General features: G+C 42.2%; 1 annotated feature.

The window, feature by feature from the left end:
- Positions 9,991 to 10,185: a silencer, noted in NCBI's record as "fragment chr4:84042619-84042813 (GRCh37/hg19 assembly coordinates)". NCBI's record gives its function as "represses an EF-1alpha promoter that drives an FKBP-Casp9 reporter gene in an ReSE screen in HepG2 liver carcinoma cells {active_cell/tissue: HepG2}" and the evidence as "EXISTENCE:reporter gene assay evidence [ECO:0000049][PMID:32094911]".

Genomic DNA, 15,627 nt, shown 5'->3' with positions numbered 1-15,627 from the left:
GAGGCCGAGGTGGGCAGATCACTTGAGGTCAGGAGTCTGAGACCAGCCTGGCTAACATGGTGAAACCCCGTCTCTACTAAAAATACAAAAACTAGCCAGGTGTGGTGGCGCACGCCTGTAGTCCCAGCTACTCAGGAGGCTGAGGCAGGAGAATTGCTTGAACTCAGGAGGTAGAGGTTGCAGTGAGCCGAGATTGCGCCACTGCACTCCAGCCTGGGTGACAAAGCGAGATTCCATCTCAAAAATAAATAAATAATAAAATAAAATGAAGCTATAAGGGAATTAAAGTAGGAATTAAAAATAGTGCTGTAGTTTTATTGGGGGGGAGAAGGGTGACTCTGTAAATGAGCTTAATCTTCCTCTATCATGCAGAAAGTCATAGTTAACATCTAAAATTATTAACCAAGACATAAGAGTATAATATGTTATTCAGAGACATGAAGATAAATCCCAGAAAAACTAAAAAAAGAAACAGAAACAATTAAAAGAATTAAAAGTAGTTCCCTCTATGTAGCAGGATTGAGACCATGGAAAAGTAGGGGAGGAGACTGCTGCTTTTCATTATAAATCCTTCTTTATTATTTGAAAATATTTAATCATTTATATGTACTACTTTAAAGAAAAATGAAAACTTTTTTTTTCTGAGATATGGTCTTGCTCTGTCTTCCAGACTGGAGTGCAGTAGCATGATTTTAGCTCACTGCAACCTCTGCCTCCTGGGCTCAGGTGATCCTCCTACCTTAGCCTCCTGAGTAGCTAGGATCACAGGCGTGCACCACTATGCCTGGCTAATTTATTATTATTATTATTTGTAGATATGAGGTGTCCCTATGTTGCCCAGGCTGGTCTTAAACTCCTGAACTCAAGCAATCCTCCCACCTAGGCCTCCCAAAATGTTGGGATTACAGGCGTTAGCCACAACACCTGGCCTAAATCTTGCAATTTTTAAGTTTTTAAGTAGTTACTATAATTTACCATCATTCGTATCCTAAATTGTTTTCAACTTTTTTTTTTTTTTTTTTTTTTTTTTTTTGAGATGGAGTCTCACTCTGTCGCCCAGACTAGAGTACAGTGGCGCAATCTCGGCTCACTGCAAGCTCCGCCTCCCGGGTTCACGCGGTTCTCCTGCCTCAGCCTTCTGAGTAGCTGGGACTACAGACGCCTGCCACCACACCCGGCTAATTTTTTTGTATTTTTAGTAGAGACGGGGTTTCACCGTGTTAGCCAGGATGGTCTCGATCTCCTGACCTTGTGATCCGCCCGCCCGCAGCCACCCAAAGTGCTGGGATTACAGGTGTGAGCCACCGCGCCCGGCCTTGTTTTCAACTTTAAATAAAGATTAAATTTCTCCATGATATTGTAGAGAAAAGGCTAGAATGTTGAACAAATATTTTTAAGTTTTAAGGTGTATCAAATTACTAGCTTCCGTAGGGAGCCTTTAAGCCTTGGTCTCTCGTTGTTTTAATTATACTGTTCTTTTTTTTTTTTTTTTTTTTTTTTTTTTTTTTTTTTTTTGAGACGGAGTCTCGCTCTGTCACCCAGGCTGGAGTGCAGTGGCGGGATCTCGGCTCACTGCAAGCTCCGCCTCCCGGGTTCACGCCATTCTCCTGCCTCAGCCTCCCAAGTAGCTGGGACTACAGGCGCCCGCCACCACGCCCGACCAATTTTTTGTATTTTTAGTAGAGACGGGGTTTCACCGTTTTAGCCGGGATGGTCTCGATCTCCTGACCTCGTGATCCGCCCGCCTCGGCCTCCCAAAGTGCTGGGATTACAGGCGTGAGTATACTGTTCTTTTTTTTCCCTTGGTCAAGAATTGGCAGGTTTGCACAATAATTAAAGTTTTCAAAAGCCTCTGGAAACTTCCATCATAGTTACATTTTCTCATATACACCTTGGTTTCCTTTCCTGGTTGGGGTGGGAAGGAAGGTAAGAAGAATCAGGAGGCTTCCTTGATATTGAAGAGGAGGTTCAAGATCTCTGGAGGGTCCAGGGTCCAATAACAGAACCGAGTCCAACAGTATCAGTGGTATGATGTCAGTCAAGTTATTAACACATAGCTAAGATCCCAGGTTCCTACTAAGCCAATGGACAAGGACCAAGGGACACTCTGGGGCAACTGCACCTGCATCACACTTTTCCCAAGTGCCAGACAAGCCCGTGCTGTCACAGGCTGAATCTTTGCAGTTTCTGCTCCAGCCTATAGATAGGAATCCTGTCATTTTAAGTGACTGATTACCCAGGGCCTTAACACTACTCCCTATTTCAGAAAAGCCAGTCAGCAATTAAAAAGAACAAACACAGGTAGTCCCAACCCTGTTCCAGTTCCTGGTTCCAGTCATTTATAAGGGCTATTTATATCTCTGCCCTTAGACTTTTGTTTCTTTCTATCTTGTTTTGCTTAGGTGGGAGCGGGGAGGGAGTACCTAAGTGGGTTTCTATTTCATAGCCTCTCCCTAACAAGAGTTCCCAGATTTCATGAAGAAAGCACAGCCTATCTACAACTCCACAGCTATTGAGTACGGAGACAGTGTCCCCCATCACCAAAATGAAGTCTTCCATCTGGCTGCAGAAGGTGGTCAGGAATTTAATCTGTAGTTAGGGGCTCCACAATAAAGATATATCTACAATTTTAATTTAAATTGTAGATAAATTGTTTATCTACAATTTAATCTACAATTGTAGATATATCTACAATTTAATCTACAATTGTAGATATATCTACAATTTTATAACAAATGTCATAACTTCTTCCATAACACATACTCCTAATCATAAAACCATATTCTCAGTTGTAACCTTCTGGGAAGATACTTCCATCAGACATAAAGTGACTCAGGTTGCTGGCATGAGCTTGAATTGCACCAGAATCTAACCACAGAAATAGGTTTCCACAGACGTTACTATTGCAATACATATCTTCTCCTTTACCAAGTGAGTTGTAAATGATATGGTCTTAGACTGGGCATAACGGCTCATGCCTGTAATCCCGGCACTTTGTGAGGCCAAGATGGAAGGACTGCTTGAGCCTGGGAGGTCAAGGTTGCAGTGAGCCATGATGGCGCCACTGCACTCCAGCCTGGGCAACAGAGTGAGACCTTGTCTCAAAAAATGAAAGGAAAAGGGAAAGGGAAAGAGAAAGGGAACGGGAAAGGGGAAGGGAAGGGGAAGGGGCAGGGAAGGGGAAGGGGAAGGGGAAGGGAAGAGAAAGGGAAAGGGGAAGGAAGGAGGAAGCAAGGAGAGAGAAAGTACAAAAGAGCATATAAATATAGCAGCCACTTGCCATATTGGCATCAACCCTAGAGTAAGAAAAGGCAGATTTTGTGACAGTGTAAAAGTGCTTTATGTAAATATAGACCACAGATTAGTGATGACAGAAAAAGAATATATCATAATTTCTTTACATTTAGATTTCTTTGGATTTAGATTTGGAATTTAGATTTAGAATGGATAATAGTATGGAGTGAATTTTTTCCCTTTTCAATTTTCTTTTTTTCTTTTTTCTTTTTTTTTTTGAGACAGAGTCTCGCTCTGTCACTCAGGCTGGAGTGCAGTGGTGCGATCTTGGCTCACTGCAAGCTCCGCCTCCCAGCTTCATGCCATTCTCCTGCCTCAGCCTCCCGAGTAGCTGGGACTACAGGCGCCCGCCACCACGCCTAGCTAACTTGTTGTATTTTTAGTAGAGACGGGTTTCACCATGTTAGCCAGGATGGTCTTGATCTCCTGACCTCATGATCCACCCGCCTCAGCCTCCCAGAGTGCTAGGATTAGGCGTGAGCCACCGCGCCCGGCCTTCCCTTTTCAATTTTCATGTCATTTTTTTGTTTGGTTTGAGACGGAGTCTCGCAGTGTCGCCCAGGATGGAGCGCAATGGCATGATATCATCTCACTGCAGCCTCCACCTCCCGGGTTCAAGAAATTCTCCTGCCTCAGCCTCCTGAGTAGTTGGGATTACAGGCACACACCATCATGACTGGCTAATTTTTGTATTTTTAGTAGAGACAGGATTTCACCATGTTGGCCAGGCTGGTCTCGATCTCCTGACCTCGTGATCTGCCTACCTCGGCCTCCCAAAGTGCTGGGATTACAGTCGTGAGCCACCATGCCCAGCCTGGAAAACAGTATTTTGACTGGATATTGTGAGGCTAAAGATGAAAGGAACTGTACACAAACTCTGTAATCTAATTAGTAAATTTGCTTCTCATAGAGGTATGCATTAGCAATTCTGAAATCATTTTAAGATTGGACAGAAAATGATGATGATGATGAAGATAGATGGATAGATAGGATAGAGATGTATGTATGCAGCATGTATGTATACATATTCACGTATATATGTAAATATACATACTTATCCTAGCTGTACTGAAGTGGCCTAAAAGCACTGATAACCCAACAGCAATGAGCCCAGCTAGCAACTAAATCTTGGTTTCTAAATACCATTCTCCAGCACAAAGAACCAAGGCTCCTTGAGGAAGAGGTTAATTCCAGGGCTGGGGAAGGGAAAATACAAGATGAACCTGGAGTATCTTGTGATGCCAGAGAGCAAGAAAGTGCTCATAATGGATGAGAGCATGTGAAAAGGACACAGGAGCCAAGCCAAAGGACCTCTCAATAGCCAAAGTGGGAACACTTTGAGCAATAAAATAAATAATGATAGTATTAGATTATAATCCAGAGAATAAAATAAGTAAATAAATAATCTAATGGGTAAATAAATGGGAAAAAAGGAAGAACTTTTCCTTGCAGAATAATTTTAATTAATGAATGAACAAAAAATGAGGAAATAGAAAATTACTTTTGCAAGCAAAATCTACCAAGGAAACTAAAATTAGTAAGTGAAAGTGACAGGAGAAACAGGATATTTGCATAGTTTCAAGTAGCTCATCCAAGATGTTTATTGATTACAAAGGGGAAAATAGTAACTTTATAGTGGAGACAGACAAACCCCACCTTAGCCAAGTGATCAAGGTTAACATCACCAGTAATAAAACACATTGACATCATATATGATCTGATATGATTACTGAGAAAATGGCAGAGAAACCCAAATTGAGATATATTCTACAAAATAGCAGACCAGTATTCTTCAAATATGTCAGTCATGAAAGATAAGGAAAAACTGAGGAACTTCTCCAGATGGAGGAGACTAAGGAGAGATGACAACAAATGTAATGTGGAATCCTGGATTAGATACTCAAACCAATAGAGAACATTCATGGAAAAACTCTTGAGATTCAAATAATGTCATTAGTCATTAGTATATTACTGTACCAATGTTAATTTCCCATTTTTAATCATTGTATTATGGTTATAGGAGATGTTAATTTTAGGGGAAGCTAGGTGAAGGACATATGGGAGCTTTAGCCTATTCTTGCAACTTTTCTGTCCAAAATTGTTTCAAACTTAAAAAATTATCTCATGTTTCTAACATATATCTAACATATATATCCTTCAATCAATAGCCAGTTACCACAAAGATCTTGTGGGTAGAATGCTAAAAAACGATCTTCCCTCAATGAGGTGTTTTTTGTTTTTTTTCTTTTGAAACAGGATCTTGCTCTGTTACCCAGGCTGGAGTGCAGTGCGGCAATCTCACTGCAACCTCAGCTTCCGGGTTCAAGCCATTCTCCTGCCTCAGCCTTCCAAGTAGCTAGGATTACATGAGTGTGCCACCACTCCAGGCTAATTTTTGTATTTTTAGTAGAAACGGGGTTTCCATGCTGGCCAGGCTGGTGTCAAACTCCTGACCTCAAGAGATCCGCCCACCTCGGCCTCCCAAAGTGCCGGAATTACAGGTGTGAGCCACCGCGCCCAGCTCCTCAATGACGTTTTTATTGCTTACTCACAAGTTCAAATCAGATAAGAAACAATGTTTGCTGATCTCTTAAAGAGCAACTTTCCATTGCTAGGACAGTATAATTTTTTTTTTTTTTTTTTTTTTTTTGAGACGGAGTCTCACTCTGTCGCCCAGGCTGGAGTGCAGTGGTGTGATCTCGGCACACTGCAAGCTTCGCCTTCCAGGTCCACATCATTCTCCTGCCTCAGCCTCCCAAGTAGCGCTGGGAACTACAGGCTCCCGCCACCACACCTGGCTAATTTTTTTTTTTTTTTTTTTGTATTTTTAGTAGAGACAGGGTTTCACCGTGTTAGCCAGGATGGTCTTGATCTCCTGACCTCGTGATCCGCCCGCCTTGGCCTCCCAAAGTGCTGGGATTACAGGCGTGAGCCAGCGCGCCCAACCAGGACGGTGTAATTTTAAGTATATTATTGCTCAAGAGTTTTTCAGCTGTAAAGTGATGGGAATGAAATTCAACTTGAACTTTTTTTTTTTTTTTTTGAGATGGAGTCTTGCTCTGTCACCCAGGCTGGAGTGCAGTGGCGCGATCTCGGCTCACTGCAACCTCCGTCTCCCGGGTTCAAGCGATTCTCCTGCCTCAGCCTCCCGAGTAGCTGGGACTACAGGCAAGCGCCACCAAGCCCAGCTAATTTTTGTATTTTCAGTAGAGACGGGGTTTCACCACGTTGGCCAGGATGATGCCGATCTCTTGACCTCGTGATCCGCCTGCCTCCGCCTTCCAAAGTGCTGGGAATACAGATGTGAGCCACTGCGCCCGGCCTTATTTAACCAAAGTAAAAAAGGGCCACCGCAGGGGAGGTAGAAGTTGGTAATTTTTGGCTCGTGTAGCTGTGAGGATTTGCGGGGCAGGTCATAGAATCTAAGGGAGAGCTACCAGAAGCCAGGGCCTTGAACTCCCTTCCCCTCCCCTCCTCCCCCCACACCCCTCCCCTCCCCTCTGCCCCCTCCCCTCCCCTGCCCTCCTCTCCTCTCCTCTGCCTGCACATTGGAATCATTCTCCCCTGCTATAGTAAGACTTCCTCCACGTAGCCGGGGAAGATGGCCACCAGCAAGGCAATGCACTCAATCCAAGTAAACAATTCCAACAGAAAAGAGAGAGCAGTTTCCTTCCAGCCACTTCTTTTTTTCGTTTGTTTGTTTTTTTTGTTGTTGTTGAGTCAGAGTTTTGCTCTGTGGCCCAGGCTGAAGTGCAGTGGCGTGATCTCGGCTCACTGTAAGCTCTGCCTCCTGGGCTCATGCCATTCTCCTGCATCAGCCTCCCGAGTAGCTGGGATTACAGGCATCCGCCTCCACACCCGGCTAAGTTTTGTATTTTATAGCATTTTTCAGAAAGAATTTTAATTGGCCCTGCTAAGGTCACACGCTCAATCTTTTGGTCCAATCAGTTTCCAAGGATATAGAGCTCTATGATGGGCTAAGCCTGGGTAATACTGCTGCTGGCATTGAAATGCACCTCCCAGATTTTCCTCAAGAAAAGACTGGCTGCCCAGCTGCAAGCAGTGTGGTTAGCTGGTGCCCAATTCTTCTTCCTCTTTTCACAAATGTTACTCAATAATCTTTCACAAGCGTAACCAACCTGGGACCCATACCCTGCCTGGGGCTGCACCACACCACCAGAACCATATATAATGTGGGTGAACAGGCTTTTCAAAGAAATGAATGATTTGTGTTTAATAATTATTTATAAACAATTGTAAGACAGGTTGTTTTGACCAATGGGATATTAACAATCATTGTAATGATAACTGAAACCAGAATAAATTTTTGGTATTTAGATTTTTATTTTATTTTTATTTTTTAGCGATGGGGTCTTGCTGTGTCACCCAGACTCAAGTGCAGCGGCATGATCATAAAAAGAGCTTAATTTACATACCTACTTTTGTTGCAGAGAACTATGACAGAGTGATCAAATAAAAGGCTTTCAGAAATAAAAATACCTATATTAGGATAATATTCTGTGGGAAAATCAGAAGTGAAATGGAAGTTGGCAAGGAACAGGAATAATGTAAAATTTCTGACTATTAAAGAGCTTGTTTGAGCATTTTTTAAACAGGTGTGTATAGGTTGTAAATTGCCATGGAGCAATCTGGAGCTGAAGAGCTGGCACAGGGGACCAGCCACCACCAAAACAGGTGTGTGGACTCTTCTAGGATTCTCAGAAATACTTTCAGAATGAATGAGAGCTTAATCAATGGCTGGACATCTTGCATTTGGGATCTCAAATTATCATTATTGGTATTGAGGAGAACAGAGACCCCTATGAACACTTAAGAATAAGCAGACATGGAGGTTCCATTATGTACATAATATATGTATTACTACTTTTCAGTTGAAAATAAGTGCCATATTAATTAATTAAAAATACATTTCCTTAATCCATTCAAGAATCCCTTGAAGCCACCTCCTGCCTAAAGGTCTGATAAATACATGTGCTATGGTTTGAATGTTTGTGTCCTTGTAAAATTCACATTGAAAATTAATCCCTATTGTGATGGTATTAAGTGGTAGGGCTTTGGGGGAAGTGATTGAGTCATAAGGGCTGCCTGGCTCTCCCACCTTTTCTGCCATGTGAGGACACAGCTTTCATCCCTTTTGCCCCCTTCACCATGTGAGGACACAGCAAGAATATGCAAGCCCTCACCAGATACTTTTAATAAGTATCCCAAGTGATTTTGTTATATAGTCAAGATTAAAAACCACTGAAGATCCCTTCTAACCCAGAGGTTACTTAATTCTAACTGTAGCTGGTGCCTTCCTTATGGCAATCAAAGGTATTTGAAAAAATCATTCCAGTTTAGTATATAACAAAAGTGACAAGTCAGGAAAATATGAACTTTGTGGTAAGCAGCATTGTTATAACTGTATACTCTTAAGATAAAGATAAAATTGGATCTGTTTCTCATATTGTACATGAGAATAAATTCAAATTAGATGAGAGATTTAAATGTAAATAAACAATATAAGATCTAGAAGAAAATAGGAGTAAATACCTTTATAACCTAAAAGTGAGGTAAATTTTCCTAAAACTCACATTTCAAAAGAAATAAGAGAAAAGATTAACCATTTTTACTATCTAAAACCTTAATTTTAAAAATGTATAGCAAAAAAAAATGAGCAAAGTATCAATTTGAAATCACTTTGTATTTTATTCTTAAAATGTGTATTTGTTTCTTTGCTCTAACCCCCGAAAAAGCCCAGTGACAATGAGCACCTCTAGTATCTAAATTATGGTCTCTAACTAACATTTCCCACTAAAAGAAGCCAAGACTCCTTGGGAAAATTGTCAATGTCAGGTCTGAGTCAGAAAATATATAAATTGATCTGGGAACATCTTGTTGTACAAGAAAGCAAGCAATATGGTTTAAAAGAACAATTTTAGCATCAATAAGAATAACTGCAATGGGCTGGTTGCAGTGGCTCACCATTATCCCAGCACTTTGGGAGGCCGAGGCGGGCAGATCACTTAAGGTCAGGAGTTCAAGACCAGCCCAGCCAACATGGTAAAACCCCATCTTGACAAAAATACCAAAATTAGCCAGGCATGGTGGCACATGCCTGTAATCCCAGCTACTCCAGAGGCTGAGGCATGAGAATTGCTTGAACCCAGGAGGCAGAGGTTGCAGTGAGCCAGGATCGCACCATTGCACTCCAGCCTGGGCGACAAGGAGAGACTTCATCTTAAAAAATAAAACAATATAACTGCAACGGATCAAAATGCACCAAATATGTTTAAATTCATGAGTTCATAATGAAGCTAAAAAAAACTTTCCGTCATTGGATACTTTTGAAAAATGCTAGGAAACAACTCATTATTTTGAAAACTGGTGAATAAAGGGAATAAATAAAATATATATTTGCCTTTTTATAGGAATTATACCTCAAGGTAACCAAATGGTTGATGAGGAGAATTTTGTTTTTTTTTAGAATCATTTCAGCTAATAAATGAAAAAGGAATATGTGTTAGTTCTTGTCCGTTGAGAAGCAGATGTCCAGACTGGATGAAATGCAAAAGGATTTTACTTGAGGAAATGATTGTGTAAAAGGAAATAGAGAAGGAGCAAGAGAAGGCTGGGAAGGCTGTCAGACTGTGGTGCAAAAGGGTGAAGATGAAGAGAAGGCTGGTTAAAGCATCCTAAACTGCTCTGCAGTATAAGGAGGTTTGCCAAAGCCATCGAGCCAAAGTTAACTTACAAAGGCATCCCATGTCTCCCAGAAACAGGTCTACCGTAATATCCCCATTGCACTCAGTTATTGCTGGAAGGAATGGCCTCAGTACAAATGCAGCGCTGTATTTCAAAGCATAGCAGCTGGGGCCTGACTTCACTTACACTCCATGCAGTAGGAGGTCTCCTAGGCATATTCTCACGGCCATCTCAGCACGATATAATTAGAATATGACTATTTTGCAACCTCTACTGAAGGAATGGATCCAGCAATGATCATCAACCAACATTAGAAAAAGAAAATCAACTAAACATATGTGTCTTCTTAGGACAGTATATGGTAATACCTATGAAGTATTCTTGCCAAAAAAATTTTACCTGAATCTGATCAAGCTTCTAGGGCTAATTACCACTATACAGGAAATACAAGGGAACAGAGGAAGGGGTTAAATGACATAACGGGGGTAAAATCTGCCAATCTAGACCATAGGAAACACTGGAGACAAACAACCAGGTTTATTCCATATATAAATTGTGTGCGTTGAGGCCGATGGTTGTAAGAAGTAGGGAAAGGGAGAGGACACCTATAGATTTTAAAAGACTTAAGACATATGTCAGCAAATGGCAATGTATACACCTTATTTAGATCTTGATTCAAACAAAAACAAATGTTTAATATTATGAGACAATCAGGAAAATCTGAACACTGAATAGTTGATAATATAAAAAACTCGGGGGGCTAGGTCTGATATATTTGGTTTGTAGTTTTATAAATGGAGGTTTTGTTAGATATACATACTAAAATACTTAGTGATATTTATCTTCTAAAGATGTATACTAAAATATTAACTGATGAAATAATATGATGTCCAGAAACTGCATCAAAATAATCCAGGGAGAAAGAACTAATAATCTGGTGTGGCAATAGACCGAATAATATTAACCATAGTTGAAAATTGTTGAAGTTGGATGATGGGTCCATACAGTTCTCTCAACTTAATTCTAGGTTAAATACAATGATTGTAACAATATGCGAGAGCCAAGAAGAGGTGTATGAAACCTTCTCTACATCATGGTCTATGAACCACAGGAGTTCAGTAGGGCAGCCATCCTGTTGTCCACCTTTTTCCCAAGCAGGAGCACCCAGTTCCAAGGGAGCTCTCCTGGCTGAAGCAAAGAATGCACACCAGCCTGGGCAACATGGAGAAAGCTGTCTCTGTAAAAAAAAAAATACAAAAATTAGTTGGGCATGGTGGTGCATTCCTGTAGTCCCAGCTACTTGAGAGGTTAAGGTAGGAGAATCACTTGAGCCCAGGAGGTTGTGGCTGCAGTGAGTCGTGGTGCACCGCTGCAGTCCAGCCTAAGTGATAGAGCGAGACCCTGTCTCCAAAAGAAAAAAAAAGAAAGAATGCACAAAATGATCTATACCTACATGCAAGGATATAAGTGAATCTTCGCAATATGTGTTAGATCTTCCTTGCAAATTATATGAAGTGTCTACTAAGTGGAAGAGAAATAAAATGAATAAGAAAATAAGGTCAGGCGCAGTGGCACACACCAGTAATCCCAGCACTTTGGGAAGCTGAGGCGTGTGGACCACTTGAGGTCTGGAGTTCAAGACCAGCCTGGCCAACATGTTGAAACCCCATCTCTACCAAAAAATACCAGAAAAAAATTAGCCAGGCATGGTGGCACATGCCTGTAGTCCAGCTACTCAGAAGGCTGAGGAAGGAGAATCACTTGAACCCAGGAGGCAGAGGTTGCAGTGAGCCAAGATCACACCACTGCACTCCAGTCCAGGCAACAGAGTGAGAATCTGTCTCAGAAAAAAAAAAAAAAAAAAGAAGAAGAAGAAGGAAAGGGAAGGAAAGGGAAAGGGAAGGGAAGGAAAATGATCCCCCTGCTTGAGCCTCCCAAAGTGCTGGGATTACATCCTCTTAAAGTGCTGGCTTAACCCCAGCACTTTGGCAGGCCAAAGCAGGGAACTGCTTGAGCCCAGGAGTTCAAGACTAGCCCAGGCAACATAGGGAGACTCCAATCTCTAAAATAAATTTAAAAATTAGCCAGGCGTGGTGGTGTGGTCCCAGCTACTCGGGAGGCTGAAGTGGGAGGATCACTTGAGCCTGGGAGGTTGAAGCTGCAGAGAGCTATGATGGCACCACTGCACTCCAGCCTAGGTGACAGAGTGAAGTTAAGTAGTGCCCCTGCCTAAAAAAAAAAAGCCAGAATTATGTGATGAAGGGTAACGAGGACCTACTTCAAGTAGGACTGAAGGAAAGGTGTGGAGACCTGAACAAGAGTTCAGATAAGATAGATAAGAGTTCTAGATAAGAACATTCTAGACAGAGGAAACCAGAAGTGCAAGGTCCTAAGGAAGAGTGAGCTTTGTTTCGGGAACAGAAGGAAGGCCAGTGCAAATGGAGAATGGCCATGATGGAATTTGGATTTTATTCCAAGTGCAAGGGGAAGCAATTGGAGTGGTTTTGTTGGAGTTACAAATTTGATTTACACATTTGAAAGATGATCCTGGCTGCTATATTGGAGGGCAGGAATGCAGGCAGGGAAACAAACAAGGAAGCTTTTGCAACACTCCAGATGAGAGTTATAGAGGATGACGGTGGAGATGGAGAAAAGCAGATGGATTAGTTACACATGTCAGAGGTAAAACCAACAGCTCTTGCCAGTTGAATGGATGGGAAGTGAGGGATGACTTTTAGACTTTTGGCTTAATCATTGAGTAGATTGTGGTGCCAATTACTGAGGTGGAGAAGGTTAGAAGGTGTGTGTGACAGAGGATGAGAACTGAAGGTTTCAATGGGGACATGCTAACCTTGAGGTCCTAATTTGAATATTTACATATTCAAAGATATGTAAAGTTGGCAGTTTTTCTAGAATGGTCCCTATTTCAAGTCTATCCCATTATCTGCATAAGTCAAGATTTTGGGTCAGCAAAGTAGTTACCTGTCTCTTCTGCTGAGTCCTGCCTCTTCATCTTGGCTCATTCTATTCCACCTCTGCATCATCACCAGTTCAAAATCTATCCTTCAAAGTTAGCTTCATATAGAAAAAAATAATTTACTTTCCCAACCCACAGGGAATCTTACCAGTAGTTAATTCCTATTATATTGTATTCTGTCCTCATTTTCTTTCTGCTGGTATGGCTTCACAAATTTTCTTTGATCTTTTTTTTTTTTTTTTGAGACAGCGTCTTGCTGTGTCACCCAGGCTTGAACACAGTGGCACAAACACAGCTCACTGCAGCCTTGAGCTCCTGAGCTCAAGTGATCCTCCTGCCTCAGCCTCCCACGTAGCTGGGACCACAAGTGTGCACCACCATGCTCAGCTACTATATTTTTTGTAGAAACAGGTCTCACCATCTTGCCCAGGCTGGTCTCAGACTCCTGGGCTCAAGTGATCCACCCACCTCGGCCTCCCAAAATGCTGGGATTACAGGCATGAGCCACTGCATGTGGCTCTGTTCACGTTTTCTAGTTGTCTGCAATATATCACCTTGTGTTGCCCTCCAATTGCTCCCAGCATACCTTAAAAAGATGGACTGAACATATAAGATCCATTATTCCCCATTCTGGGTAACATAATGGTAAAGATGGACATGGCCTTGATGTAATTTGACCTCTTTCCTTCATGCATTCATTCAGGACCAGGACCAGGGTGAGGCAAACAAGGTCCCTACGGGCACAGAATTTAAGAAGGCACTCACTCTTGATGAAACTGGAGGACCAAAATGTAAGTATTTTTTTTGTTCTTCTATATACTATGTGGCCAATATTGCCTTTCTAAAAGATAGTACCAATTTATAATGCCACCAAAAATCAACCAGTCTACTATCAGTTTGTAAAACTTTGTCAAGGCTGGGTGGTGTTTTTTTTTTTTTTTTTTTTTGAGACAGAGTCTTGCTCTATCACCCAGGCTGGAGTGCAGTGGTGCAATCTCGACTCACTGCAACCTCCACCTTCCGGGTTCAAGCAAGTCTCCTGCCTCAGCTCCCCGAGTAGCTGGGACTACAGGTGCCCACGACCATGCCTGGCTAATTTTTTTGTATTTTTAGTAGAGACGGGGTTTCACTATATTGGCCAGGCTGGTCTCGAACTCCTGACTTTGTGATCTGCCCACCTCGGCTTCCCAAAGTGCTGGGATTACAGGCGTGAGCCACTGCGCCCGGCCTGGATGTTATTTTTTTATTTTTTATTTTATTTATTTATGTATTTATTTTGAGACAGAGTCTCGCTCTGTTGCCCATGCTGGAGTGCAATGGCGCAATCTCGGTTCACTGCAACCTCTGTCTAACAGGTTCAAGCAATTCTCCTGCCTCAGCCTCCCAAGTAGCCGGGATTACGGGCATGTGCCACCAAGCCCGGCTAATTTTGTATTTTTAGTAGAGACGAGGTTTCTCCATGTTGGTCAGGCTGGTCTCGAACTCCCGACCTCAGGTCATCCGCCCGCCTCGGCCTCCCAAAGTGCTCGGATTACAGGCATGAGCCACCCCGCCCAGACATATTTTTTATTTTTTTGAGACGGAGGTTTGCTCTTGTTGCCCAGGCTGGAGTGCAATGGCGTGATCTCGGCTCACCACAACCTCTGCCTCCCGGGTTCAAGCAATTCTCCTGCCTCAGCCTACTGAGTAGCTGGGATTATAGGCATGCGCCACCACGCCCAGCTAATTTTGTATTTTTAGTAGAGACGAGGTTTCTCCATGTTGGTCAGGCTGGTCTCAAACTCCCGACCTCAGGTGATCTGCCTGCCTCGGCCTCCTAAAGTGCTGGAATTACAGGCATGAGTGACCGTGCCCGGCCAAGCTTACCGATTTTTAAGATGTACTTTCCCCCTTTAATACAATAAATAACTAGTACATATTTGTTGACATCTTTTTGATTTTTCAATTTTTTAATTTTTTATTTTATTTATTTATTTGAAAAAAGGAGATGAGATCTCACTATGTTGCACAGGCTGGTCTCAAACTCCTGGGCTCAAGTGATCCTCCCGCCTTGGCCTCCCAAAGTGCTGGGATTACAGGTGTGAGTTACCACACCTGGCCATGTTGCCATCTTTTTATTGTGGAGTTTATACATAGTATTTGGAAGAAAATAGGCTATCTGGAATTCCACATGTCTCTTTTTCTTTCTCCTTCTTCAGATTTCTTTGTTTCTTTGTTTCCCCTAATATTGATTATGTGTTAGGCACTGTTTTAAATGTTTTGCATGTATTAATTTTTTGAATTTTCCCTACAATCCTGTGGGGTAGGTGCAATTATTACGCTCATTTGACAAGGAACCTGAGGCATAGAAATGTTAAGTGGCTAGCAGATGGCAGCTAGGAATTGGGACTGAAAAGGGACTCTAAGCACTTAGAGTCTGCCATAATGCCACACATTCTCACTGTACAACCTCACACAATAGCCTTGTTCTAGTGGGAAAGATTTCCCATCCGCAAAAACTTCAGAGTGAATGACAGGAAAGCTGGCCACTCTCATTTCTTAATTTTTTTTTTTTTTTAGAGACACGGTCTTGCTGTCACTCCGGCTGGAGTGTGGTGACACAACACAGCTCACTGTAACCTCAAATTCTTGGGCTCAGGCAATCCTCCTGC

This window comes from Homo sapiens, chromosome 4 (genome assembly GCF_000001405.40).
Source record: "Homo sapiens chromosome 4, GRCh38.p14 Primary Assembly".
NCBI classification, from domain to species: Eukaryota; Metazoa; Chordata; class Mammalia; order Primates; family Hominidae; genus Homo; species Homo sapiens.
The sequence above is the reverse complement of the archived record's forward strand: the minus strand, read 5'-3'. Positions and strand labels throughout refer to the sequence as shown.